The 25785-nt window shown below is 41.9% G+C and overlaps 1 long non-coding RNA gene across 1 annotated transcript; it reads left to right on the top strand.

Annotated features, from left to right (window-relative positions):
• Nucleotides 1-3686: 3686 nt before the first annotated feature.
• On the top strand, nt 3687-17336 carry LOC105379377 (uncharacterized). Its single transcript, XR_949675.4, has 7 exons — nt 3687-4026; nt 6271-6468; nt 7023-7097; nt 7225-7359; nt 9039-9207; nt 13686-13833; nt 15173-17336. It is a non-coding gene; the product is annotated as an uncharacterized LOC105379377 (long non-coding RNA).
• The last annotated feature ends 8449 nt before the right edge of the window (nt 17337-25785 follow it).

Here is a 25785-nt window from a genome sequence, read left to right as displayed (position 1 = left end):
TCCTGGTCTTGTTCTTTGTGGCCAGGGTGGAAGTTCATGTCATCCAGACCCTGCCAATTCCTGAAGAAGGAACAGCCAAAGTCAGCTTTTCTGAGGAGGTGGTGCGTATTTCAGGAACAGAGCATTTCGTAGACTGACCAACACAGGTCTGATTTGATTAAGATGAGGCTTCAGCAAATGTCTGATGAGGTTTTATGCCTTGGTGTTTCACAGTATGATTCACTTATATTTAGATGTCCAATTACTCAATTATATGACTAGATAATGTCCAACCAATAGACTGTGATGTCCTTGAGGTCTGGGATCATGTCTTGCTGTTGGCAGGCAGGGTTGTAGAACGTTGTGGCTCTGGAATCACCCTGCATGAATATGAATCCTAGCTCTTCCAGTTCTTTAATTTACGCCTCCATTTCCTCATCTATTAAATGAAGACGATCATATCATAATAGTACTAATTTCTTGATCTATGCATCAAGTGAGTTATTTTATATCAGGAAATTAGAATACTGCTGGGGACAAAGTAAATATCCCATCAATATTAGCTATTATATTAGTTTTCATATTTCCCAGAACCTATCATGGGCCACATTATGCATTATGAACTCAACAGATATTTCTTGAAAAATAAGAAAAATCGTGTTGTTTTGAGTGAAATTATTACACTTGGCCAAGTGATGTGGGGGTGGACATACCAGGCGAGTGCTGGAGATTGTAATCGACCTAATTTTTGTCTGCAGCATTAATCACTGAGAAAACGAAATGTAGGTCCTCGTGGCCACAGAGCCTCGTGTTTTCTTTAGTGGAAAAAGATTCTTTGGTACGGGATCAGGACTGAGACCCTCTGAGCTCTCATGTGTCCCTGACTCCTTTCTTGGGAGTCTAAGAGGCAAGAGACACAGGACAGGCCACTTAGAGGAAGCCTGTTACACACCTGCTGGGTTCACAAAAGAGCCATTAGCCACCAGGTCTGATGATTCATTGCCTGCAGAGTGATTTGGGAAAGAGGGTTTCAATCCAAACCAGCATAAGACAGAGGGGGAAACAATTAGCATTCACACTACTGAGAAAAGGAAAAGAAAGAAAAGTGATCCATTACTTGTTAACAGAGTAAAGGGTGTGGAATCTTTCTGCTTTTTTTCTTGTGGGGGGAAAAAATAGAAAGGCAAGATGATTTCCTTACTAGGTAATGTCCAACTACTTTCCCCTTCCCACTGTTGTTTCCAAACCATTTCTTTGACGTTTATTCATTGCTTCAAAACTCACGTAACATTTGTTTAAACTTCTGAAGCAGTGTCAACATTGCCAGGCCATAGAGCCTCTGCCTAATATCACAACAAATTCATATGGACCCCTAGCCAAAACGGTGATATAGAAAGGCCCATTATAAAGCTAGGCGTTCCCTTCTGTTGAAATCCATGGAGACTCTCCCCCTTTGTGAGCCTTCCACTCTCGGCACTACGTAGACATGAGTCTTTGCAGCAAGTCTGAGGTTTAAAACCTCATCGTTCAGCAATGTAAACACACACTTTTGATTGACAATTCTTACTTTTAAAGGGAATGGGGGAGGCAAAAATTATTCGTGAGTCCCTTTGCAAGTCACTCATGATACTGTATTTTTAGCCTGGGCTCAACCCTCCTATTTAATGATAGACAGGTATGGAATCTTCCAGGAATATGATGCCATATCAGCATGACCGGCTCTGCCCCTGGTTACTACATCTTCTCTCTCCCTGGCTGGGGTAGCAAGCATTCTCCCATCCTTAAAATGACATGTCAATGGCAGTTCACGCTGTGCCAGTTCTTGGGGTCTTGGCTGCAGACGCCTTCCAGAGGACAGCACCCCAAGGACTGGACAAGAAAGAGCCATGTTCAGGCCAACCTGCTAATGCGCCAGCCCCTTAGCAGAGGAAGTTCCTTTTTCTTGCCCTCATTCTTTCCTTCTGAGAAACTTGCCATCCAAAGTCAAGTGTGCCTCTAACACTTTCAGGAGATTATCACTTTCCTCTTTGTCATCTTTAAAATTTTATTATTGCCTTCAACTCCACCTCAGTTTTCAGGACTTGATCCCATTCTTTTCATTTTGAAAATAGCCCGGGGCCAAGATGGAAAAAGAAACAACCAGCAAACCAATTTTTAAGCAGTTTTTAACTTACCAAAAATGTCAAGTTATTGCACCTTTTAAATCTCAATAGATCTATTTGTAGAAATTATACCAAAATCAGCAATTTCCTTGTTCTCATCTTCCCTCAATCACTTCTCCAATGAGTTTGGGCAGAAGTACCCCTGTGTCCAGGTGGCTGTGGGAGGCCCTGTAATTGGGTGTAATCAGATCCCAGAGGAGCTTTTCTGATGAGGCGGAGATTCTTTTGACAGGAACTTTTGAGAAGTAGAGTCGATGTAATGAAGTCCAGAATTTTCCAGACTCCTCTTAATATATCCATCATGTCCAGCCGCATCATTGACATGTTAACTCTCTTGTTTCTGATTTCAGCTGTCAGACTCAGTAAAATTGCCCCGGCAGCTTTAGCATATGTGGCAGAACACTGACAAGATGTTACTTACACCTAATTAAGGCTGAGAGCATCGTAACGGTTCCGGCGTCCTAGCAACCTGATTTCCTCTGGTTTCGAGTTTTCTGGATCTTGACCTCAGCACTTTGAAAGTCAGGAAAATTTGATACAGGGATGCTTAGGAATATTGCCATCACCACACTTTGACTTTTATATCAAAATGGAAAACAGCAGAACAAAGAGAATTTGACAAAAGAGATGGAAACATCACACCTAGAGGGTCAGAATGGGATAGCTGACCTGATAAGAATGGCTGGATGGACTAGATGACCTTTGGCTCTCTCCTGCTGTTTTTACTTTGTCTCTGTGAATGGGGGTAAATCCAGCAGGACAGGTAGTAGATGGATAGTAAGAAAAATCACACGCAGGAAAGGGAAAGAGGAAATGAATACTGGGCTTAGCACAATGACCGAATGTGGCAGTGCTAAGCTTAATAACAAGCAATTGTTTCGAACAATCATTATTAAAAAGGCTGTGAGATATACTCCAGGGAAAAGAAAACATCCCCAGTGCTTGAGTCATTTAAAATACGTTTAGATGGAACCCTCTGTAGTGGCGTGGGCTGGAATTGCTCTTTTGTGGCCTGGGCTGGGGACTGGTGCCCGCCCCATTCTGACTCTTCAGCCTCTACCTTTGTCTCCTGCTGACGTAAGGCTGCTGTGGTGGACAAGCCGTTCCCTCACATGGCACAGTGAGGTTACCGAATGCCCCAGGATGTAGAACAGCCTGACCTCTCCTCCACCCCCTCTCCCAGCCCCCTGTAAGAATTTACAAATCCAGTTAAGGGTGAAATTTTGCCATTTCCTCTGTGGAACACAGAGGTTTTATGCGATGACAAGTGAATGGATTTCTTCTCTGCTGAAGTCTCCAATTCTCATACAGTTGCCAGAGGCAGAAAAAAAAAATCAGCACTTTGGCAGCAATAAACAGCCTTTTGCCTTCAAAAATGCTTCCAGGTTTTTTTTCTTCTCCTCTTTCTTTTAAAAAATTTCTTCTTTTATGTATGTGTGCCTTTAGGAGGGAGAGTGATATTTAGTTTTCTTTTGCTTGGTAGGAGATAAGGGAACATTTGAGATGAAATCACAAATTGTCCAGCTCCTTGTCGGATGGATCAGTGAGGTTTCTCTTCTTTTCCCTCTTTGCGAACTCCAGGGTCTCGTGAATTCCTTGGCAGGGACCTGGTCTTCTCTTGTAGAGGGTTAGTTACAAAACACATTCATAATGTCCCTGGCTAAATGTCCCAGCCAGGAGTCAAGAAGAACTCAATTTCCTGGCCTGACTTTTTTGGACTGTGACCACTCCAGGTGTTGGGACTGCTCAGGAAATAAGAGGCAGAACATGTGTGCGTGTTTTTAAAAAAAGCACAGAGCGCTTGCTGGGGACCCAGATGCTTATCCGGGCTGTTGGCCTGTAGCACAAAGTAGATCCTGAAAGAAAAAGGAAAGAAAAAAGAAAGGTTAATAATTATTGTAAAAAGAAGATGGAAAGTTTCAGGGATTTATGTGATTTGATAGGAGAGGCTGTTTCTGAGCTTCCTATGAAGCCAGGCGACATCTCCCCTGGGCGATGCATGGATGGGTTATTTCAGCATTGGGAAGTTGGGGAGGAGGTTTAATCAAAGGGCTGGATGTTTTGTTGACTTCTTCATGAGAAAAAAGATTCAAAAAAAAAAAGACAAAAAAAAACAGGTTCATTTGAATGCTTAGCAGACTTAATAAGTTTACAAGAAAATGGTTTTACCTTGGTAACAGCCAGGCTCAAACTAGTGCCCCTGAGGAACTGACTGTTATCTGCTGGAGAATCCTGTGTTTTAAAGTCTTCTTCCTTTCCTTACCTCAGGCTGGAACAGAAGAGTATATCAAACAAAAGTGCCTCGCCTAAGCTGTCCATATAGGGCAAACCTTTGGCTTTTCTGATTAGCACAATCTCCTAGCCTTGCTTGGAAGGCTGAATGTCAGGTCATCGTAGAAATTTTGAACTGGAAGGACTGCAGGGTTTATCTTGTCCACCATCACACTCCTAACCACCACCATTTAAGGGATTAGGAAACGGAGACCCAGAGGAATTACATGACTGGCTGAAGGTTCGCAGGTGATTAGTAGCATAATTAAATTCCGTGACCAGAGGATAATCCTCTTTATTCCTTGCAGAGTTCCTTCCCCTTTACCAACATTTCTTGAAGTGTGCACTGTGGAAGAACGCCAATTCTATATAGTATGTTAATACATTTTATGCAAAGCAGCTGTGGGTAGGGAGGAGAGCGAGAGAGAGAAAGAGCGATCTTTGAGAATCTCGATTAAAGAACTTTAGAAAATGTTGGATTATGCTAAGTTAAACAGGTTTGTTTACAGTGATATTTCTCTCTTATAATTTGATAACTCTTTTGGTTGCAGCATCTCAAAAATGACTACTTCTGTAGAACGCATTTAGGGTAATATTTCCTGGCATTCAGCTCAGCCCTTTTTCTGACTAGTTGAGTTAGCGAGTTTGTGTGCTTTCACTCATCTTGGCCTATAACTTTTCATTTGTCAACTACCAGGAAAAATGTTTTATTTTGGAATGAACATGAACCCTGCTTCCAACCTCAGTCCTGGCACATCTATTTGTACCTCCCTAAATCAACCATTAACCTCTCTAGGCCTTAGTTGTTTCATGTGGAAGATGATGATTTGGATTCTGTGATCCATAAGGTCCCTTTGACTAATTTACTATTTCTCAGTTTGAAACGTGGTTGTTTTCTGTCTGAGCCTGGAAGAAACATGAGGGGAGAGGAGATATGCCCAATCTCCCACTCAGGCGGTTGAGCTTAAGCTCTCAGGTTCTAAGGGATTTTTGTATGGAAAGATTGTTCTCAGCAGTAATAAACAGCCCAGAAAAAGTGTCCTAATACAAGTATGAGAATAATTTATAATGGATACCCTGGAATCCTAAAATTCAGTTTCAGGTAAAAATTTCTAAAGCATTTATTAGAAAGAAAAGGTATATCCTAAGTATTTGTATTTCAGAGACAGCAAAGGCACTTTGAATTCTGGAACGAAGTCTCCGTTGGAGCTTCCCTTCACCACTGCAGTTCCCTCTGTTGCTGGTTCTAAACTGCATACGCAGTCTGCTCTTGGTACCTGGGCTGAAATTCTTCTTTTTTTTTTTTTTTTGAGACAGAATCTCGCTCTGTCACCCAGACTGCAGTGCAGTGGCATGATCTCTGCTCACTGCAACCTCCATCTTCTGGGTCCAAGCAATTCTCGTGCCTCAGCCTCCCAAGTAGCTGAAATTACAGGCGCATGCCACCATGCCTGGCTAATTTTTGTATTTTAGTAGAGATGGGGTTTCATCATGTTGGCCAGGCTGGTCTCAAACTCCTGACCTCAAAAGATCCTCCCCCCTTGGCCTCCCAAAGTGTTGGGACTACTGGTATGAGCCACTGTGCCCAGCCTGAAATTCTTGAGAGTGGCTGAAAAATATAAAGTATAATCTCAGTCCATTTTAGCAGAATATATGATTGCTTCTTGTAAGTAAGAAAGGGGTATTTATAGAAAACAACAACAACAAAATCGAATGCTCATCTATGGAAAATTCCCATTAAAACCTATAGGCATTCCTCTCAGGTACTAAGATTCCTCAGGTACCTGCCTGGGGTCCTGGGGCATCCAGATAATCATAGATCATAATTTCTCCTCACCAGTTTGCATGTTTCATTTAGGTATTCTCCAAGAAGAGAGGTCCTTTTAAAGAATGAGCATCAAGCATCCACTCTAAAAGGAAGATGGAGAAAGCCAGTGCAAGGCCTGCCTGTTGGGCATCATGTGGATTTGCCCTTGGCTCTTGTGTTCACTCGGAGCCCTCTGGTGTCCCGTTTCCAGCTGGGCTGTGCACGCACCCTGGGGATTCAGTGGAAGAGGTGACATCTGCTGACCCTCAGTCATTAATCAAGCTGCCTGAGCAGAACCATTTCCCAGGCAGGGCTGCAGCTCATTGGCTCTTGGGAGCTTCTGAATCAAATGGTGAAAGGCAGGAGCTTATGTCCTGTCCCTGAGTTCTTGAGAGGAACGAGATGACGGGGATGGAAGGGAGCTGATGGTAGAAACGACAGTAAAGAAAAGGGACTTGGGGGAAGCTGAATTGGGGAGATAGGGCAGTCCTTTGAATTGTGGGAGTTTTGGGGTACCCATTCATCATTCATACTGACTGGTCAGACTACAATCCATTGGCTTCAATACCGTGTTTTGTTGAAAAGGACTTATCAGAAGACCTGTACCTTCAGCCTGAGGCTGCCTTGTGACATAGGGTGCCATCTTCCTCCTCCTTAACCCTAGAGGCGGCTTGCCCTTGGCTGTTTTCTGAAGGGGACCTTTGAATCTCAAGGGTGGAGGGTGTGGCCTTTGAGTTGTAACTACCAAGTAGCAACTTGTTACTTGGTAGTAATTTGCTGTCAAACACCTGTCTTGCTTCCAGGAGCAATCTGAATCCAGCAGTGCTGAGAAAACCCAAGAGCTACATGGCCAGCATTTCCCATCAGAGAGCCAACAGGTCAGGTAGAAAAGCTGGGTCCCTCTATTCCTGATGTTCCCATCTTTAGGGAACATTCTCATCATCCTGCAACTGGTAACAATTTTCTAAAATTAGAGTTTTTCTGTTTCATTCTCTCCCCTCTCAGGGCCCCTGGTTTTGCCTTCCCGCCCACCAGCCCTGGTTAATGGAGCTTTTGTTCTGCCTGATGCTGCCTTGCTAATCAGGGTGTATCATATGGGAGCTATCAGGAGAGCGGGGCCTGCTTCACAAAGGAACACAGGTAATCTATGAGTAAGCCTTCGTGGTTCGGTGACAGAATGACATCCTAAAGAGGGTGGATGGGGTCTATGGACTGAAGACACTAGGAATAGAAACCTGTTAGCTCTCACTTAAGGGTTTTCAGTGGTTATATTAACCATGACTTCCTACATCTCTCTAATATGGAAATGTCTGTGGGTTTTTCCAGCTTCCCAGATCCCTTCCTGCTTTGAAGTGAGCTGTCATTTTCTAGACTGTTGTTGCCTGGGAAACTGTGGCCCAGTTTTGGCCTCAGAAGGCATTTTAGTGGGCTTGAAAGACTTTCCAATTGCTACCCTTCCAGTAGGGGTCATTGCTCACAAAGCCATCTCCCTCTAAACAGCTCCATTTCAGCACCAAAAGTAAATGAAGCAGGAGGCTGTGTTTACAGGTTGGGGCAGGTTCGCATCAAATATATTTTTGAAAAATACCATGAAGTTCAGTGTTTTGTTGTAATTTCCTAAAGGAAAGAAAAGCTGTCATTCATTCATTCATTCATATATTCAATACATGCTTATTAACATTGTCCTAGGTGCTAGTAACATATGAACAATATGAACAAACTCTCCAAGTTCCTTCAGACTCTCAGGAGAGTTAGACAATAAAAATACCCAGACAAATAAACAAGATGATTGCTTTTATGATAAGAAGCACTGTTTGAGTGCAGAACACAGTAAACTTGTGTCAGAGTGTTCTTTTCTCCCAAATTATGACAAAAATGAGACTTCTGTATTGTGCTTTACAACTAGCAAAGCCTTTTCATCTATATCATCCTGTCCTCATAACAGCCTCATTGGAGACACAGTGAGTATTATTATCACTTTACAGATGAAGCAATGGAAGCACAGAGAGGTTAAGGGACTTGCACAATGTCACATGTCGAATAAACTATGGACCCAGTACTTAAAGCCAGATCTTCTCACTCTAAATTTAGTGCTCTTTTTTCCCTACTTTTTCATGTCTCCACATCTCCAAGATTATGGGGTTTGTGGGAGCTACTTTGATAACAGTCAGGGACTGATGATTGAGCAGAGAGAGGAAGGCGGGTTAGTGGGGAGGCCTGGGGAGCCCTTTAGCCAAGAATGAGTTTTTCACAAGAGCAGGAAAGTTCCTTAAGTGGCCTTTGGCTTTGCAGAGGCTCTGCTTCATCTCTTCTTGACGTTGTCCCTGGGAAGAGGGGAGCTGGGGTGGATGCGATGGGGAAGGAAGGGAAGGTTGTCATTTCAATGTTGTCTGTTATTTATCCACACAGCCCCTGGGGCCCTATTTTCAGACTTGTCTGCTTGCCCAGAAAGGGGCAGACCCAGGATTCACAGAAATTAGAAGCACATACACTTGGCCTGGCCAACAGCAGTGATGAAGAGAGATGCATGCCGGTTTAAACCAGTACCTTCAACATTCAGGAACAGCACAGCTCCAGGAAGAGCAGGGAACTCTTCTGCCTGCTTAAAAGTGAAGGCCTCTAATCAGAATCAGAGCTTCATTGAATGTTAGAATTGCAATGGATTTTGGCCATGACAGTCCAACAACTTTATTTCACAGACAAAGGACCGGGAGGTAGTGTGACTTGGCCAGAGTCATGCAGTGATTTAGTGAATACCAGAGCTGGGGCAAGGATGCAGCCCTTCTGACTCCTGACCCTTTCTCTCTCTTCCTCATCAGGTTGCCTTTAGAGTTGGCTACAAAACTTAGAGCTTGGTGATGGCTCAGGCACAAAAGAGCTGGCTGTACTTGAGGCTGACTTCCATTCTACCTGTGACTATTACATTCAAGGTAGTGAACGCTTGAAGCCTCTGGCATCCTGATCCCATGATTACTGCAGAGAAAAGAGGTAAATCAAGAACTGCTTGGGGAACAGCATCATCATCGGTTCTGGCATGTGCATCTAAGCAAGGCGTGCCTCTCAGGAAGGATTTCACTCTTTGTTGTAACTGTATCATACCTTTTACAAAAAGTCACTTTGAGGTCACTTTTTTTTTGTCCAGTATTTCAATACATTAAATGCAATTACTTCATTGTTGATTTACCTGTCATTACAGGCATGTGTTTGAACATGATTTATTGAGTGAGTTTTGTGCCAGTTGACTTGCAATAGATTGCACAATATTCAAAGGGGCTCATTTGCTTGGCATTACATTAGAGGCATGATGATTGCAACACAAAGCAATGTAAATGAATTCTGAGAGGCTCCATCATTCATGTTGTCATGTACTGAATCCTATTATTATTTATTACCATAATTGTACTGTGTTTCCTGGGGCGATAAATTAGGACTGATGGGCCCCACTGACAGTCAAGGGCTGGACTCGCTCTATATAATTTAATAGGGATACTGTAGGGTCTGTGTGTTTGGAGGAGATTTTGGTAGTGGTTAAAAAAAATGAAAGAAATTTTTTTTTTTTTTTTTTTTTTACAAAAAGTATAAAAACCTTCCAAAGTTTTTTTTCTCTCTCTTTAATGCCTTGGCTGCATTTTAAAGTCTTGATAAAAGCTGAGTTATAAGGAAGAAAATTTCTTTCTTTCAACACAAGATGGTTAGAGCTCATTGCCTCATGCCACAGTCCTTGCCACATCAAACACTGGCAGGTGGCATTAACTCTCAACAAACAAGGCATTATCGTGCCTAAGGAATCCAGAATCAGCTGCAAATCCAATGGTCAGCGTGATGGCAGCCCTAGGAACTTAGCATATTACCATATTAAGTCTGAGGGCCCCTTGGGGATCTAATCTGACATGCCAATATTTCTGAAGAAATTGAAGGGTCTGTTTTCCTAGGACAACAGAATAGGAGCATTGCAGGTTATAGATACAAAATTGCTGTGCAGGATAGAAATGTCTGTGCAAATACCAGCATAATGTATTATTAAAATCACACAGTGGGGCCAGGCTCGCTGGCTCACGCCTGTAATCCCAGCAGTTTGGGAGGCCGAGCTGGGTGGATCACTGCGGTCAGGAGTTTGAGGCCAGCCTGGCCAACATGGTAAAACCCATCTCTACTAAAACTACAAAAATTAGCCGGGCGTGATGGCATGTGCCTGTGGTCCCAGCTACTTGGGAAGCTGAGGCAGGATAATCACTTGAACCCAGGAGGTGGAGGCTGCAGTGAGCCGAGATTGTGCCACTGCACCCCGGTCTGGGTGACAGAGCAAGACTCCATCTCAAATAAATAAATAAATAAAATAAAATAAAATAAAATAAAATCTTACAATGCAAGTGCTGGAAGGGATCTTAGAGATGACTCACGTCAACCATCTCATTTTACAGATGAGAAAACTGAGTCGTAGGGAGGGCACAGCCAACAGGAAAGAAGAGTCATTAGGAATATGTGCTGCACTCTAATTCCAGAACTGTAATCAACTGGCCTTTTGATTTGAGTGATGTCTAAGGAGCATGAAGAGTCATGAAGCAGAGACCTGGCCATTCCACAGGGGGCAGTCAAAAGAAAAGCCCTGAAACATCACTCTTTGGTCCAACTAGAAAGGAGTGTGACTGTTAATAAGGCGCAGGAGTAAGTTGTTAGTCAAATGGTGTTGGCCAAGAATCTTTTAGAATCCCTGTTTTGCATATATTCTGTTGGATCAATTTTATTTCAGAAAATAATCAATCTGTCTTTGAGCCCTGGGTCAGAGGCCAGGGATTTCATAATCCCTGTGGAAATAAACTCTTTGACAGTTTACATGTGTGCCTTTTGTCCTCTGTCCTTACCTATCACAATCACATATTTGGGAGCTTAATGTATGCAAAGAAGGGATGTCTGTGGAATGAAACTCGGAAAAGAAGTTGAATTCTGTTTAGGGAGTTAGGATATAATAGAAACCAAGGAAACCAGGGTCGCGTTAGCCTTATATACATAATCTCCTCGGTAGAGACACTATCTAAGTAGTTTTATTTTCTATTCCTCAAGAGCTTAAAGGAAAGATTTCATCCTACTTGTCTACATTCAGCTGTGTTTATATGTGCCACTAAATGGTTTTATTCAGATTGATTCAGGCGGGGCCATAAAATCAATGCATTGCCACCTAGTCGATCTGATTGGGTTGTTAAAACAAGTGAACTAATCAGACCACTTCTTAAAAATCAGATCACATCACCTGTGTGTGATTTGCCTGTCCCCTGGGCAACTGGCGTGGTAATCAGAAATCAAGCCCAAATAAACTCAGCCAAATGCTTCATGTAGTTCTGGCCCAAGCTAGCCCCATCCTTACAGGTAAGGGACAAGAAACAGCTCAATGTTTGACCAGTTGCACGCACAATCTGAGTGGCACCCCATGCACCCCATTGGGTTGGAAATGGCAGTGGACTCTGGGCATGTTCATGCCTTTCAACAGGTAGTAGAGTCTTTTGTTTTACGGGATTAAGGAGCAGTCTGAGGCAGCAGCAATCAAGACAAAGCAGGTATAAAGCCATTAGGGAGCGGAAAGGAGTGAGCTGTTGCTTCTCATTTCACCCCCAAAATGGGGAGCTGGATTTGCAAGCAGACCCCCGTGCAGAGTGGGCCTCATCACTACTTCCTGGCTTCTCCAGGGCCTCAGTCAAAAGAAAGTCTGCATCTAGCTTCCTCATTGGCTGACAGTCATGATCAAAGGGGTCATGATCAAGAGGAGCCAAGTGATCACACCATTAGCAAGAGGAGTCTCCAACTTGGGCTTTAGGTTCTGATTCATAGTTTTTAAAAGACCCTGGCTTGTGGCCTAAGTGGATACAGTCAGTGTTTCTCCATCAAAAAATTGTTCTTGCTGGTGTCCTGGATTTTTGCAGAACTGAGGAAATTAACCAATTGCCTTTATCTATTTATATCATGGTTGTGGCCATATTAGTCCATGAGAATAAAATCGCCACTACCAAAACATGGACTGGATAATAGCATTATTTGGAGAGAAAGTCCCAAATTATTAGATAGTAATATTAATTATAATTTTGACATTAAAACAGAAAACCATTCTGCATTGTTTGTGAGATGATGTACTGGGGTGCAGTTAGATTTCTGTGTGTTTATAGAGGAAGCCCTGGCCTGTCCAGGATCCAGCAGCTCAAAGCCATTTGCTTTGTCTTCAGGCCACTGGCCTGGGATTCATAGTTGCAGCAACTCACCAGACAGGAAAGGGTGACAAAACAAAACGAGAGTAGTGACACTGGGTGACTATGAATACATTTAAGAAGGTAAATAAAGCCAGACATGGTAGCTTAGGTCTATAATCCAAGTGCTTTGGGAGGTCCAGGAGGGAGGATTGCTTGAGGCCAGGAATTCAAGACAGGTCTGGACTACTTAGCAATACCCCATCTGTACGAAAAATAAATTTTAAAAAAGAAGGTACATAAGACAATATGGAAGATATTGGGGAAAGTCTACACTTGATAGCCAGTGGCATCATGATATGAGTTATTTATGTTCTAGACTGGGATGAATGTACTCCAAATTTACCCCTTAAACATCTTCTTGTACCATTTTTGATGGCTTATGAAAACATAATTGAAAATAATTAAAATGTAAACATTCATTGTGTTTAGGAATATTCTTAGTTCCCATTTCCTCCTTCCTCAATCCTTTCCCTCCTGCTAGCATGTGCACGCACACACACACACACACACACACACACACACCAGAGCAGGAAAGAGAAACTTGCTCATACTTGCATACAATTTTAAGTTTAAATCAAGCCAATGGCAGTCAAATGGAGGCCACGTGTTTTCTCTCAGGTACTAAAATGATACAAAATAAGCTAATTTTCTTCAGGCAACAGGACACCACAGGAGCCCCAAACCTGTGGCCTTTCCCTTGGAAACTCATGTCTTAGAAGCTGCCTGAGCTCCTGTCCACTGCACGAGCTGATTCCTTTCTTTGCATTCCTCTAAGGCACCTTACTCCTAAGGTCCAGGCAATGTTTTGATAGGAAGTGCCCCTGCGAGCAAGTCTTACCAGCCACTCAGAGGATGGAACTTCCCTTTGTTTCTTGGCCACCACAAGGCAAGTTTACTGAAATGCATCCATGCAGTTTTTTTCTTCTTTTTTTTTTTTTTTTTTGCAGTAGCTGACATTGAAGATGGTAGCAGTTAAGGGGTCAGAATGCGGTAGGTAAGAGGAGTGGCTGACATGGAAACCCTGTGGTCAGCAGAGCACATCTCAGGCCCTTTACTCTTGGAGGAGAAAGCTCTGATGTGGCCAGGAGTCCCAGTGAAGGAGTGGTTGGGCTGAATAAGCGAGCTTGTGTTTTGATAGAAACAAGCCTGGTTTAAAATCATGACTCTGCTCCTTGCTGTGAGATTTAGGGCAAATCAGGGAATCACTGAATGTCATCTTTCCTATTGCAGTGATGAATGAAAGCCCCTGTCATCGTGTAGTTTAATACTGGCATTGCTCTTGGGAGCCAAGGAGTCCTAGATGACTGAATTCTGCTGTGAGGTCTGTAGCTCAGGGAGAAGATGAGACAAGTGGACTTGGAAAGAACAATCTTCCTCGGTTAGTAGAAAAACTGAGTTTTGACTCTGACATTTTGATGTTCTAGAACATCTCCATCCAGTAGAACTTTCTGTGATGATGGAAATGTTCTATATCCACCATTCCTCAACATAGTAGGCACTGGTCACCTGTAGTAATTGAGCCCTTGAATGTGGCCAGTACAACTTGGGAACTGAATTTTTAACTTTATTTCATTTTAGCTGATTTAACTTTAAGGAGCCATGAATGGCTATATGGCTATTAGCTACTGTATTGGACAGCACCATGCTACCACAGAGATTCTCAAATCAGGCTGCACATCTGAATTTTTTTTTTTTTTTTTTTTTTTGAGACAGAGTCTCACCACTCTGTTGCCCAGGCTGGAGTGCAGTGGTGCAATTATGGCTCACTGCAACTTTGACCTTCCTGGCTCAAGTGATTCTCCCACTTCAGCTTCTGGAGTAGCTGGAACTATAGGCACATGCTACCATGCCCAGTTAATTAAAAAGAAAAAATTCATAGAAACATGGTCTCACTATTTTTGCCCAGGCTGGTCTCGAACTTCTGGGCTCCAGCAGTCCTTCTGCCTCTGCCTCCCAAAGTGTTGGGATTACAGGTGTGAGCCACTGCACCCAGAGCTTCTGAAGATATTTCAGAGGTACTGGTGACTTGGTTTCACACTACGCCACTTAAATCCGAGTCTCTGGCATGGGACCCTTGCATCAGAAGTTGTCAAAGTTCCTCGTGTGTGAGTGTAACATGCAGCCAGAATTGAGAACTGTGGTGCAGTAGGTGCTTGTGTTAACCATGGCTCTCTTCTTGCTGGACAGGGGTGTGATGGAGAATGGCTTGCTCTGGAAGATCTCTGCTTGGGTTTTCTCTGTTGAGAATTCTAGAAGTTTGCTCTTGGGACAAATTCTGGGTGCCTTCAACTTGGGCAGGCTAAGAGATCATGTTTTTCTTAGTCTTAGATGTGTATTTCCCTTGGCTGATAGGATGAGGGAGGACACCTTAGTGGGGAGGATGACAGTTTGGATGAGGGTAAGTGGAAGGAATGTGGTCCACACGGAGGATGAGAGGCTTTCTCTTCAAGTTCTGAACAACTTTCCCTCTTATACTTGCATTTTCCTTAAAGCTTCCCAAAGGAAAGTTTCATTTCATATGGGTGGTAGGAGGGCTTTTAGTTGGACACAGGGATGTCCTATACGTTTACCTCCTTGTAAAGAAACAGTATCATTGATAACTTGAAAGCCAATTAGTTCAATCAGGAAATGCCTTGTTGGGACTGGAGGAGCCAGAATGGGGTTTTAACGAAAAACACATTTTATTTCTAAAGTAATTGGTTTTATGTTTATTCTAGAAAAAGTCCTCAGGGTGCAAAGAAGAGAAATGCAATAAAATGATAATGAGGAGGCCCAGGACCCGCACAAGGGCACCACTGCAAGTAGATACTTCGAGGAAACTTCCTGATGCTTGTCCAGCCCTTGGTGGTGGTGCCCGGCAGCCCGTATTCTTATCCCAAAGCAATATGTGTGGAGACAGCCCAGCAAAAGCTGAGAGATTGTGTGTCCAGAGACATGTTCCAGGAATGGAAACAGAGAGTGGAGGAGTTTCTTCTCTCCTCCCGTCTCCCGCTAGAGTGGGCGGTCCCTTTGGTGTCATCGCACTGTCTTCATAGCCTACTGCGCTCCAGGCCTGTGCGCCCATGGCGGTCTTGGACCACGAGTGAGCCATGAGCCCTCCCAAGCCCCAAGGCCAGGTCTGAAGCGGGCTGATGTGTGCCCCTGGCTTTGTTGCCCAGATCCTCACCACAATCCCAGCATCCCACCACTCTACTGCGAGAAGAGACAAGGGAGGAGATGCACACCTCAGAGAAGGAGCAGATTTCATTCAAAGTCCGAGGGAGGCCAGGGCTCCTGGTCCTGGACTTCGTGTCAATTGGTTCTTCCTGGAAAAGACAATTGGAGGCACCTTCACCTTGTTTTTACTATATGGGTCGCGTGGCAGTGCTGGAGAAAAAGACAATCCCCAAAGAGCACATTGTCCTAAAGGAAGAGTCAACACCTGCTAACAGTTTATCTTGTCATACTAAGCCTCAAGCCCTGAGCACCATTGCTCAGCTGCACTCACGGTCTTGGTACTGTTGCCTGGTGTAACTACACAACCTCTGGGCTGATGACGCAAAAACACGTGATATGTAATAGCTCATTTAATTCTCGCAACTGTAATTATCCCCATTTCATGACTTCCATTTGACGGAAAGATTAAGCGGCTAATCCTCCAACACAATTTAAGTGGCTTGTTCCATAACTAGTGAAGAGATTGAAAATTTGAACTCCTCTGCCGAGCTCCGGAACCTGTGCTCCTAAGGGAGGAATGGGCTGGAGCTCCCCACAGTGGTCATCATGTAAACCCAACACTTCCTACATTCATTGATTTCTGCCTAATTTACATTCCTCTTTTGTTAGTTGCTCACAAGTCCCTCCTCCATCCTCTTCTTCCCAAGCCCTGGTCATTAAAATCAAAGTCTTAAATCTCAGATACCACTCTCCCTGCACCTAGGCCCTTATTTTCATCCGTATCCAGAGAGTCTTAACCTCTTGTCTTACGTTTGTCTAACTTGAACCTGTACGACCTATTCCTTGAGACTCTATATTTTAAAAACCTGCACAGATCTTATCAAAAAATTATTTGTACCTCTGCTTCTACCATTAGGTGACCATTGCCTTTTCTCTGAAGACACCATTTCTCTTGTAATCTTCTCAACGTATCTTTCTCTTATTCCTGTCCCTTAACTGAACGAAAGTGGGATCGGCTTTTCCGTTCTCTCCAGTACTTCTCTCGACCACTGTTTTGTGATTATTATCCAAGAGCTTTGCTGGTGTTGGACTCCATATAGCACTGTTTCTAACACTTTCTTGCTTTCCTGAGTGACCCCAGCATCTGGCTCACAGCCTTCCCTTTCCTTGCTAAAGTCCGAGCGACTCCGACATCAAAATTGATCATCTTCCCAACTGTGTACTCAGGCAGTGTTCAAGTTCCACTTCCCGAGGGAGTTCTGTCTTGCTTCCATGGAGCTGTCCACCTGGTTGTCTCATTTTTAAACAGCTTTATTAAGAAATCATCGACATACAAAAATGTATACATTTAAGATGTGCAACTTGATGTTTTAGTATACGTTATTAAATTATCACCACAATCAAGCTAATTAAACATATCCATTACCTCTGCATAGTTGCAATTGTTTATGTGCGTGTGTGTGTGTGTGTGTGTGTGTAGTGAGAAGATTTAAGATGTGTCCTCTCAGCAAATTACTAGTATACAATACAGTTTTGTTAATTAACATGACCATGCTGTACATAAGGTCTCTAGAAATTATTCATATTTCATAACTGAATCTTTGTATCTTTTGGCCAGTATCACCCTATTTCTTCCTTGACCAGGCCCTGGAAACCACTATCCTACTATCTGCTTCTATAAATTTGACTATTTTCAATTTCACATATAAATGAGATCATGCAGGATTTCTGTTTCTGTGTCTTGTTTGTTTCACCTAGCATAATGTCTTCCAGCTTCATCATGTTGTGGCTAACAGCAGGATTTCCTTCTTTTTTAATAGTATTCTGTTATACACACACATGCGCGCGCGCACACACACACCCACACACACACACCACATTTTCTTTATCCATTCATCTGTTGAAAAACATTTAGGCCATTTCCATAGCTTAGCTTTGTGAATAATCCTGTAATGAACATGATAGTGCAGAGAACTCTTCACAATCCTGATTTCGATTGCTTTAGATACCAAGAACTAGGATTGCTGGATCATGTTAGTTCTATTTTTAAGTTTTTGGAGAACCTTCATACCATTTTCCATAATGGTTTTACTAATTTACATTCTCATCAGCAGTGTATAAGGGTTCTCTTTTCTCCACAGGAAAACAGTCCCATTTACATTAGCAACAAAATAAATAAATAAATAAAATACTTAGAAATTAACTTAACCAAAGAAGTAAAGGACTTATATACTGAAGCTTACAAAGCATTCATGAAGGAAATTTAAAAAGATACAAATAAATGAGAAGATACAAATCCTATGTACCTGGATTGGAGGAATTAATATTGTAAAAATGTCCATACTACCCAAAATGATCTACATATTCAACACAATCTCTATCAAAATCCCAAAGGCACTTTTTAAGAAATAGAAAAAATATTCTTAAATTCCTATGGAATCAAAAGGACCCTGAATAACCAATCTTGAAAAAGAAGAACAAAGCTGAAGGCATCACACTTCCTGACTTCAAATTATATTACAAAGACATAATAAAAAGTACAGTACTTGCATAAAGACAGATGTATATACCATTGGAACAGAATAGACAACCCAGAAATAAACCCATGCATCCAAAGATGCCAAAAAATACATAATGGGGAGAGGATAGTCTCTTCAACAAATGTTGTTAAGAAAACTAGATACCAATATACAAAAGAATGAAACTGAACCCCTATCTCACACCATACACAAAAATCCTCATAGTCTTCACATTGAGTAGGCTGAGGAAGAGGATGAAGCGGAGGGGTTGGTCTTGTCATCTGGGGGCAGGGCAGAGGTAGAAAGAAATCTCTGTATAAGTGAACTTGCACAGTTCAAACTCATGTTGCTCAAGTGTCGGCTGTGTTTGGTTCTACCTTGCATTATAATAAGGTCTTATCTCATTACCAGACCATGTGCTCTAGAGGAAGAGTAGGCTGAAGCTGCTGCCGTTCATTGTATCTCCTGAAACATGTAGCACAAAGTCTTGTGCAAAACTGGAATACAAGACATACACTTTGTTAAATGGAATCATTGTTTTATTGCCATTTCTTATCTTTCCAATTGTACTTAAATTCAGGAAGTGTAAGGCATTCCTAACAAAGTGCCTTACATTTGACATTAATAAGGGTTTGTTGCTTGGTTTATTGGCTTATTGAGCAAGAGAGAGCTAGGTATAAGGATAGTGGAAGACACTCAGGTTCCTGTTTTGAAACTACCACTTACTTGTTGTGGGACCCCAGGCAAGTCACTGCACATATTTAAGCTTCAGTTTGATCATGTAGAAAAGGAGGGTTAAACTAAATGACTTCCACATGAGTTTCTGGTTCCAAGAAATTTTTCTAAGCCTTGCTGACTCCTTCAGGATTCAACCCAGGCTGAGTTGGAAGCAAAATAATTCAGAGGACCAAGTGTGCCAGGCTAGCATAAAGAAGTTAAGAGAGAAATATAAGTTTTGTTATGTTGAAATGCCGAATTATAAGAGATAGAGAATAAAAAAGAAAAAAGGAGAGAGAGAGATCCTGGATACTGGGGAAAGAAGGTGAGCTCAGACAGAAGGGTGAGAACTGAAGCACAAGAAAGCTGATAAAGCAGTGGTTCTCAATGTGGGACAAGATGGAGAAGAGCTGCCACTCCTAGGGGAGGTGGGATTTCACCCATCATTGTAATTGGCATTTAGTAGGTGGGGCCAAGGGGAGCAGACGTCTTGCAATACACTGGTCAGTTCCATACATCAAAAAGTTATCCCATTTCACATGTAATTTTCAAATGTTTCACTGGACATACAGTTGGGTGAAAGACCTATTTGGAATAATCTAAGCCTAAATCTATATTGTGTGTAAATTCAAAAACATTTTTGCACTGTCTGAATACTCCCTGAACCTTTCAGTAAAGCATCAATTCTGTAAATTGACAGAAAATAGGATGGCATTATATTGGTACAAAGCACACAGATGCTAAGGAATGGATATAAATAGATATCAAAGTGACTTGCTAGAGATCTCATCTCTAGGACGTGGTGACACTGGACTCTCTGCTCAATCACACATTCTTGCTGTGTCACTCAAGCTGGAAGGATGGCATCATATGGCACTTCTCCAAGAGTTGTTCATTATTTTAGAAAATATATCACTAACAGAGATGCGACTGTGTTATTTTAAATCACAATAAATATATCAGCATCAGTGTTCATTTGTGGCTGGTACATTCCTGGTGGCTGCACACAGAGGAGAAGGTATTTGGGTACTGCTGCCTCCCAGGGAAGTCATGCTTGAGTATCGACATATTGCAACCCTCTCCTTGAATTTCCCCATTATATGATTAAAAATAGAGTGCTACATGACTTTTAAAATTATGTGTTTAGGTAGATTACAACTTTGCGGGGTTTTTTGTTTTGTTTTTAGAGACAGGGTCTTGCTCTGTCACCCAGGCTGGAGTGCAGTGGCATGATTATAGCTCACTGCAGCCTTGACCTCCTGGCCTCAAGTGATCCTCCTCCCTCAGCCTCTCGAGTAGCTGGGACTACAGGCATATGCCACCATGCTTGGCTAATTAAAAAAATTTTTTTTTTGGTAGAGACAGGGTCTTGCTATGTTACCCAGGCTGATCTCAAATACTTGACTTTAAGTGATCCTCCTGCCTCAGCCTCCCAAAGTGCTGGGATTACAGGCATGAGCCAATTGTGCCTGGTCAGCGTTTATATTTTTTATAAATTTATTCAGGATGATAAGAAACAGTTTAAAAGAGTTAAACATAAAAACGACGTTAAATTACCCAGACATGGAATCTATTGTATTTGCACTGTGATCAGGACTGAGTTAGTTTTTGATTCTATTCTGTAGACTTGCAAATGCTTAACTTATACATAGTTCATAAGTTTCTTGTGTCTTCACATAAATTAAAACAGAAGCCAAAATTCCATTATACTAGTGATTAATATTTGCATAATATTTTATGATTCACTGAACATTTTATTTAAAGTATTTCATTTGATTCTCAAAGCCATCTCATGAAGTAGGATACTGGTCATTGCTATTATCCTCATTATTTGCTGAGGAACTGATGTAGATAGAGATCAAGGTGACTTGTTAGAGGTCTCATTTCTAGGACACGGTGACACTGGACTCTCTCAAGCACACTTTCTAGCTGTGTCACTCAAGCTGGAAGGATGGCATTATACTGGCACAGAGCACACAGATAAATAAACATGGATCAAACATTGACTCTGAGCCTCAAAGGAGTTAAGATCTCATACAATTTCCTTGAGAATAAAACAAAGTAAAGCACATAAGGTATTAAGAACAGAGCTTGCCACATGAAAGGTACTCAATTCATGAAAGTTACTTATTACTTCCCTTCCATATTCCATGGCTTATAAGAAGGTCCCCTAGTTCTTCTCACAGATGCCGTAAAACCAAGGCACTAGAGTGTCGTGGAGAGCTAGAAACATCGAGTCCATAAGTGGAAAACATAAATGCAGGTTCATGTATTAATAGAAAACTTTTTTGCTCCAACAGCGGTCAAGACATATTAAAAGACCAATTTTAGCATTCTTTCCAGGCTAGGTTTTTAAATGTTTTTCTTCTTGTACCATCCTTGTTAAAGGGACTATGCTCCCCTCAGCTCATAGCTAACAGGCACTGGAGGATGACCATTGCGGGACATGTATGGATCTGTAGTTAACTCCTTACTCAATGGTCTTGGTGGGAAACTTGGCAAACAGGAAGGTGTCTAACCCAGCCATGGAAATCTCACAGGAGTCACTGAGGCCCCACCACATGGCTCTGAATTTCCTCCCACCCTCATCTCCCAAGCATGGACCCAACCTGAATAAATAGAGCAGGAGAAAAACAGGAAAGCAGTAAAATAGCCCACTGGAAGGTAAACACACAGCAAAGACACGAGCCTTCTTTCTTCATATTAGCCTCCATGGGAAGCTAAGAAAAGCAGAATCTATGAAGAAGGCTTCTCTTATGATTTTGGCCCACCTCCAATTCTGCCCCTCTTCCCCCAGCACATCCTGGCATGTGCACACACACGTGTGCACACATAACCTGACTTCCCCACTCCTTGTCCTGCCTATGTCATAGGCTGATCCTATGGAAGTTCTGCAAGACTACAATACATTTGTTCTAAATGAAGCTATTGGTGGAATACTATTATCATTTGTTCTGTATTGTTCATTTCCCTCTTTGTGAAAATTTCTGCTAATGCTGTGGAATGTGGAATGGCTATTGATCCAATCATGATCCGAAATGAATCACTGTCATAGATGAAAAGCTTTGGACTGGAGGGCTGGATTACAGTTTTAGCTCTGCCTCTGTCACCTTTGAAGTCAGGCCACACCTCGCAGCTTTAGTTTCTTGTTTGTAAAATGACAGTGTAGGGCGAGATGATATCAAAGGAAAGAAAGCAGCACACCATGTATCTTAGTCTAAGGCCATGGCCATGCAGAAACCCTTCAAATACTTTCAGATGTGTGGACTTTTCCACACTGAAAATAGACGTAATTCTATGAGGAAACATTCCTTAGCCCAAGAGATAGACTGACAGGTGTCACAATCGAGAGTTTCAGATCTCCTAAAAGGCATCCTCATGAAATGTGCAAAGTTAACCTTTAACGATTCTGAAAGTATAATTGTAGACTCATCTATCCCTGATTTTAAAAGGGCAGTGCATAGCTGGTTTTACATATAAGAAAATAAACACTCGATGACATGCATTTACTATTGCTTCTACAGATCTTCACTATTCATGAAATGGTTGTTTTTAGGAGAAGACAGAACTGAATCACTTCATCCCCATACCTATTTCTTCCTCTAAACATGGCAATAATCTGAACATTCCTTTGCACATGATATTTGTTGGAAATGACCTCTGGGATAATATGATTTATAAGCTCAAGAAACATCTAGAAACCTTGGACCATCTCTTCTCTAGCATAGGAGCAAGAAGCTAGGCTATTTGGCTGAATGCCCCCAGAAGTCAACCAGACAGCCACTATCAAGGTACTTGTCTCCTCAGTGGGTGAATGACCACGTACCATGGTGACCTTCCCATGCCTTTGGGCTAATGCATTTGCATAGCTACACTCCTAACAAATGCAGCTTGCCTTTCCATTCTAAAGCACTGTCCTGTAACCTCTCCTGGGCAGTATTATATTTTTGGCTTGAAGTTTGCTGCACTATGGTTTCTTGGTGAGGGTAGAGAAGGAGGCAATATGCATTCAGAGCCTTCCGTCAGTAACACCGGCAGGTTCTTTCCAGACAATGAGGCCATTGTGCAGGATGAGTGTGCCTGCTTGGGCAAATCCCAGGTAGTCTGATTTAGGAGGTGTGAAATATCTGCCAGGCACCGCAGAACCATTGCAGTGCCAATTATGCGCCAGAGGATTCTAGGATTCAGAGAGAGAGGTAAGCACCTAGATTTTCAGACTTGCTCTGTAGGGGGCATGGCTGGGTTTCTAATTTCCCTCCCTGATGTGAAGATATATATATATATATAGATAGATAGATATAGATATATAGATATATATAATATATTCTTATATATTCTTTAGTAACTCTATGGTGTTTTCAGTGTAGTATTGACCTGCATGGCCTGAAAAAAAACATAGTTCTCTAACATCTGATCCTCCCATTCCATCTTTAGCAAACTACAGAAATTCATGAACTCAGGACTTCATTGACCCATGCATTCTTTGAGCTCTTTGCTCTGGGACTGTGGTCAAACAGACAACTTCATGGCTTTGAATGCAATAATTTCCAACTCCCTTTCTGCCTTTGCAGTGAGTCATGGAGTCACCAAAGGAACCATTAGGATGGTCCTCTAGTGTGTGGTATTATACTTAAAATAGAAGTATTTGTTTACAAGTTGCTAACATAAGCACCCCAAAAAAGTTTAGAGTGCAAGTAAGCCACCAACTACTGTTGCTATCAAAAACACACCATCTTTAATGTGATTTAGGGGTCAGGAGGCATGACTACTGAGATCCAAGTGCTACAATGTTCTCCTCTCTGCCCTCCTCCCCATCAATCCCCTGGCAGATTAAATTACTGAAATGTATACTATTGAAAACTATATTTAAGAAAATGTAATCATTTATATATTTGTCTCAGATCTATAAGCAGCTTGAGTCAGAGGACTATATCTTTACATTTTTGTTTCTCAAATCAATGTTCAAAAAGTACTTGGCACATGGAATTTCCTTAACATATATTGACTGATGAATGAGTAGTATTAGTGTATTCTGATCTTAGACATGGCACCAAGAAATATACAACCTTAGTCAAATCACTTCATATTTATGAGCTTCTGATTCCACATCTCAAAAATAAAAGAGCTTCCCCAAATGATTTTTGAAGTTCCTTCTAGCTTCAACATTTAAAAATCCTTTTGCTTATTTAGAGATGTCTGAGGTTAGGTTTTACCCAGATTTGATTACTATACAAGGGAAACAGTAAAACTGGAGATAAGACTTGTCTCAAGAAATATTAACAATAAGTTGGGTCAGTGGCATTTCTAAGGTGCATTAAGAATTATAGCATCTTTCTCCATGGTGAGTAGTGCCAATAGCATTGTTAATTCATGCATTAATGGATCTATGCCTGGGGCCTAAATTGGAGAAGGAGAGTGCAAATACTGGCAGTGTTCCTCATCTCTGTCAAACATTTAAAAGCGGATGAAATGTGATTCAGATAACTATAAATGGTAGTCTTTAAAGGGAAATATTGGATAAATGTATCACTTTTTTTTTCTAACTTGCCTTCTTTGAATCAAGAAGAGATTTTAAGCCAATTATAAGGAAAGAAGAGATGGCTGCTGAAATGCATCAGAAAGAAATGAAGCATAGGAAAGACAGACTCAGGGTTTCTTAGATGAGATCTTTATCTTATTGCTGCCAACACATGGAAAGAATTTAGAGTAAAAGAAGTGAAATGCTTTTCTTGTATAAATCCCTTCACCGAAGGTAACAGAAGCCTAACTAGGGGTTGGCTGTGAGAATTCCAGCCCCCTCTTTTTTTTTTTTTTTTTGAGACAGGGTCTTACTCTGTCACCCAGGCTGGAGTGCAATGGCACAATCACAGCTCACTGCAGCCTCAAACTCTTTGGCTGAGGTGATCCTCCCACTTCAGCCTTCTGAATAGCTGATACTATAGGAACATGCTTCCAGACCCATGTAATTTTTTTTAATGTGGAGATGGGGTCTCGCTATGTTGCTCAGGCTGGTCTTGAATTTCTGGCCTCCAGTGATCTTCCTGCTTCAGCCTCTCAAAGTGCTAGAATTATAGATGTGAACCACCATGCCCGGCCTACTACCCAAATATTTTTAAAGAATCCAAAAGTGTCTAGGAATAGAAAGGAAGTAGTATGGACTTGATTTGTCCTGTCACCTTTTACACCAAGTTCCTGCTCCAAAGTGAGTCAGTGGTCCCTACTTTCTCTTTAAATTCCTGCAGCTGTGGTCCCTTCCCCATAGTACCTTCTCCCTGGAAGGGCTTATCCTTCCTTCTTTATTAATCAGTGTTATTGTGTGTATATTAGTCCATTTTCACACTGCTATAAAGATACTACCTGAGATTGGGTAACTTATAAATAAAAGAGGTTTAATTGACTCATGGTTCCACATGGCTGGGGAGACCTCAGGAAACTTACAATCATGGTGGAAGGAGAAGGAGAAGCAGGAACCTTCTTCATAAGGAGGCAGGAGAGAAAGAGCACACAGGGGAAACTGCCACTTTTAAAACCAACAGATTTCATGAGAACTCCCTCACTATCATGAGAACAGCATGGAGGAAACCACCCCCTTGATCCAGTCACCTCCCACAGGGTCCCTCCCTTGACACATGGGGATTACAATTCTAGATGAGATTTGGATGTGGACACAGAGCCAAACCATGTCGTGTGCAACAGACTTAGTGATATCTGGAGGTAAAATGAAGTACCATGAAAGTAAAATGTACTACAGTACAGCACAAAATAACGTATAGCCTGAAACCATGCTTTCAGCCTTCTTGCCATAGGAAAGTTTTCAGAAAATGCCATGGTTCTTTGGCCACCTATGGCTTACTGCCAGTAGTAGGGGCTACATTCACCATCATTCTAAAAATGTCTCTAATTTCCTCTTTTGTTCTCTCTTTCAGGATCTTTGTTCT

This window comes from Homo sapiens, chromosome 8, assembly GCF_000001405.40.
Source record: "Homo sapiens chromosome 8, GRCh38.p14 Primary Assembly".
In the NCBI taxonomy this organism is placed as follows: Eukaryota; Metazoa; Chordata; class Mammalia; order Primates; family Hominidae; genus Homo; species Homo sapiens.
The sequence above is the reverse complement of the archived record's forward strand: the minus strand, read 5'-3'. Positions and strand labels throughout refer to the sequence as shown.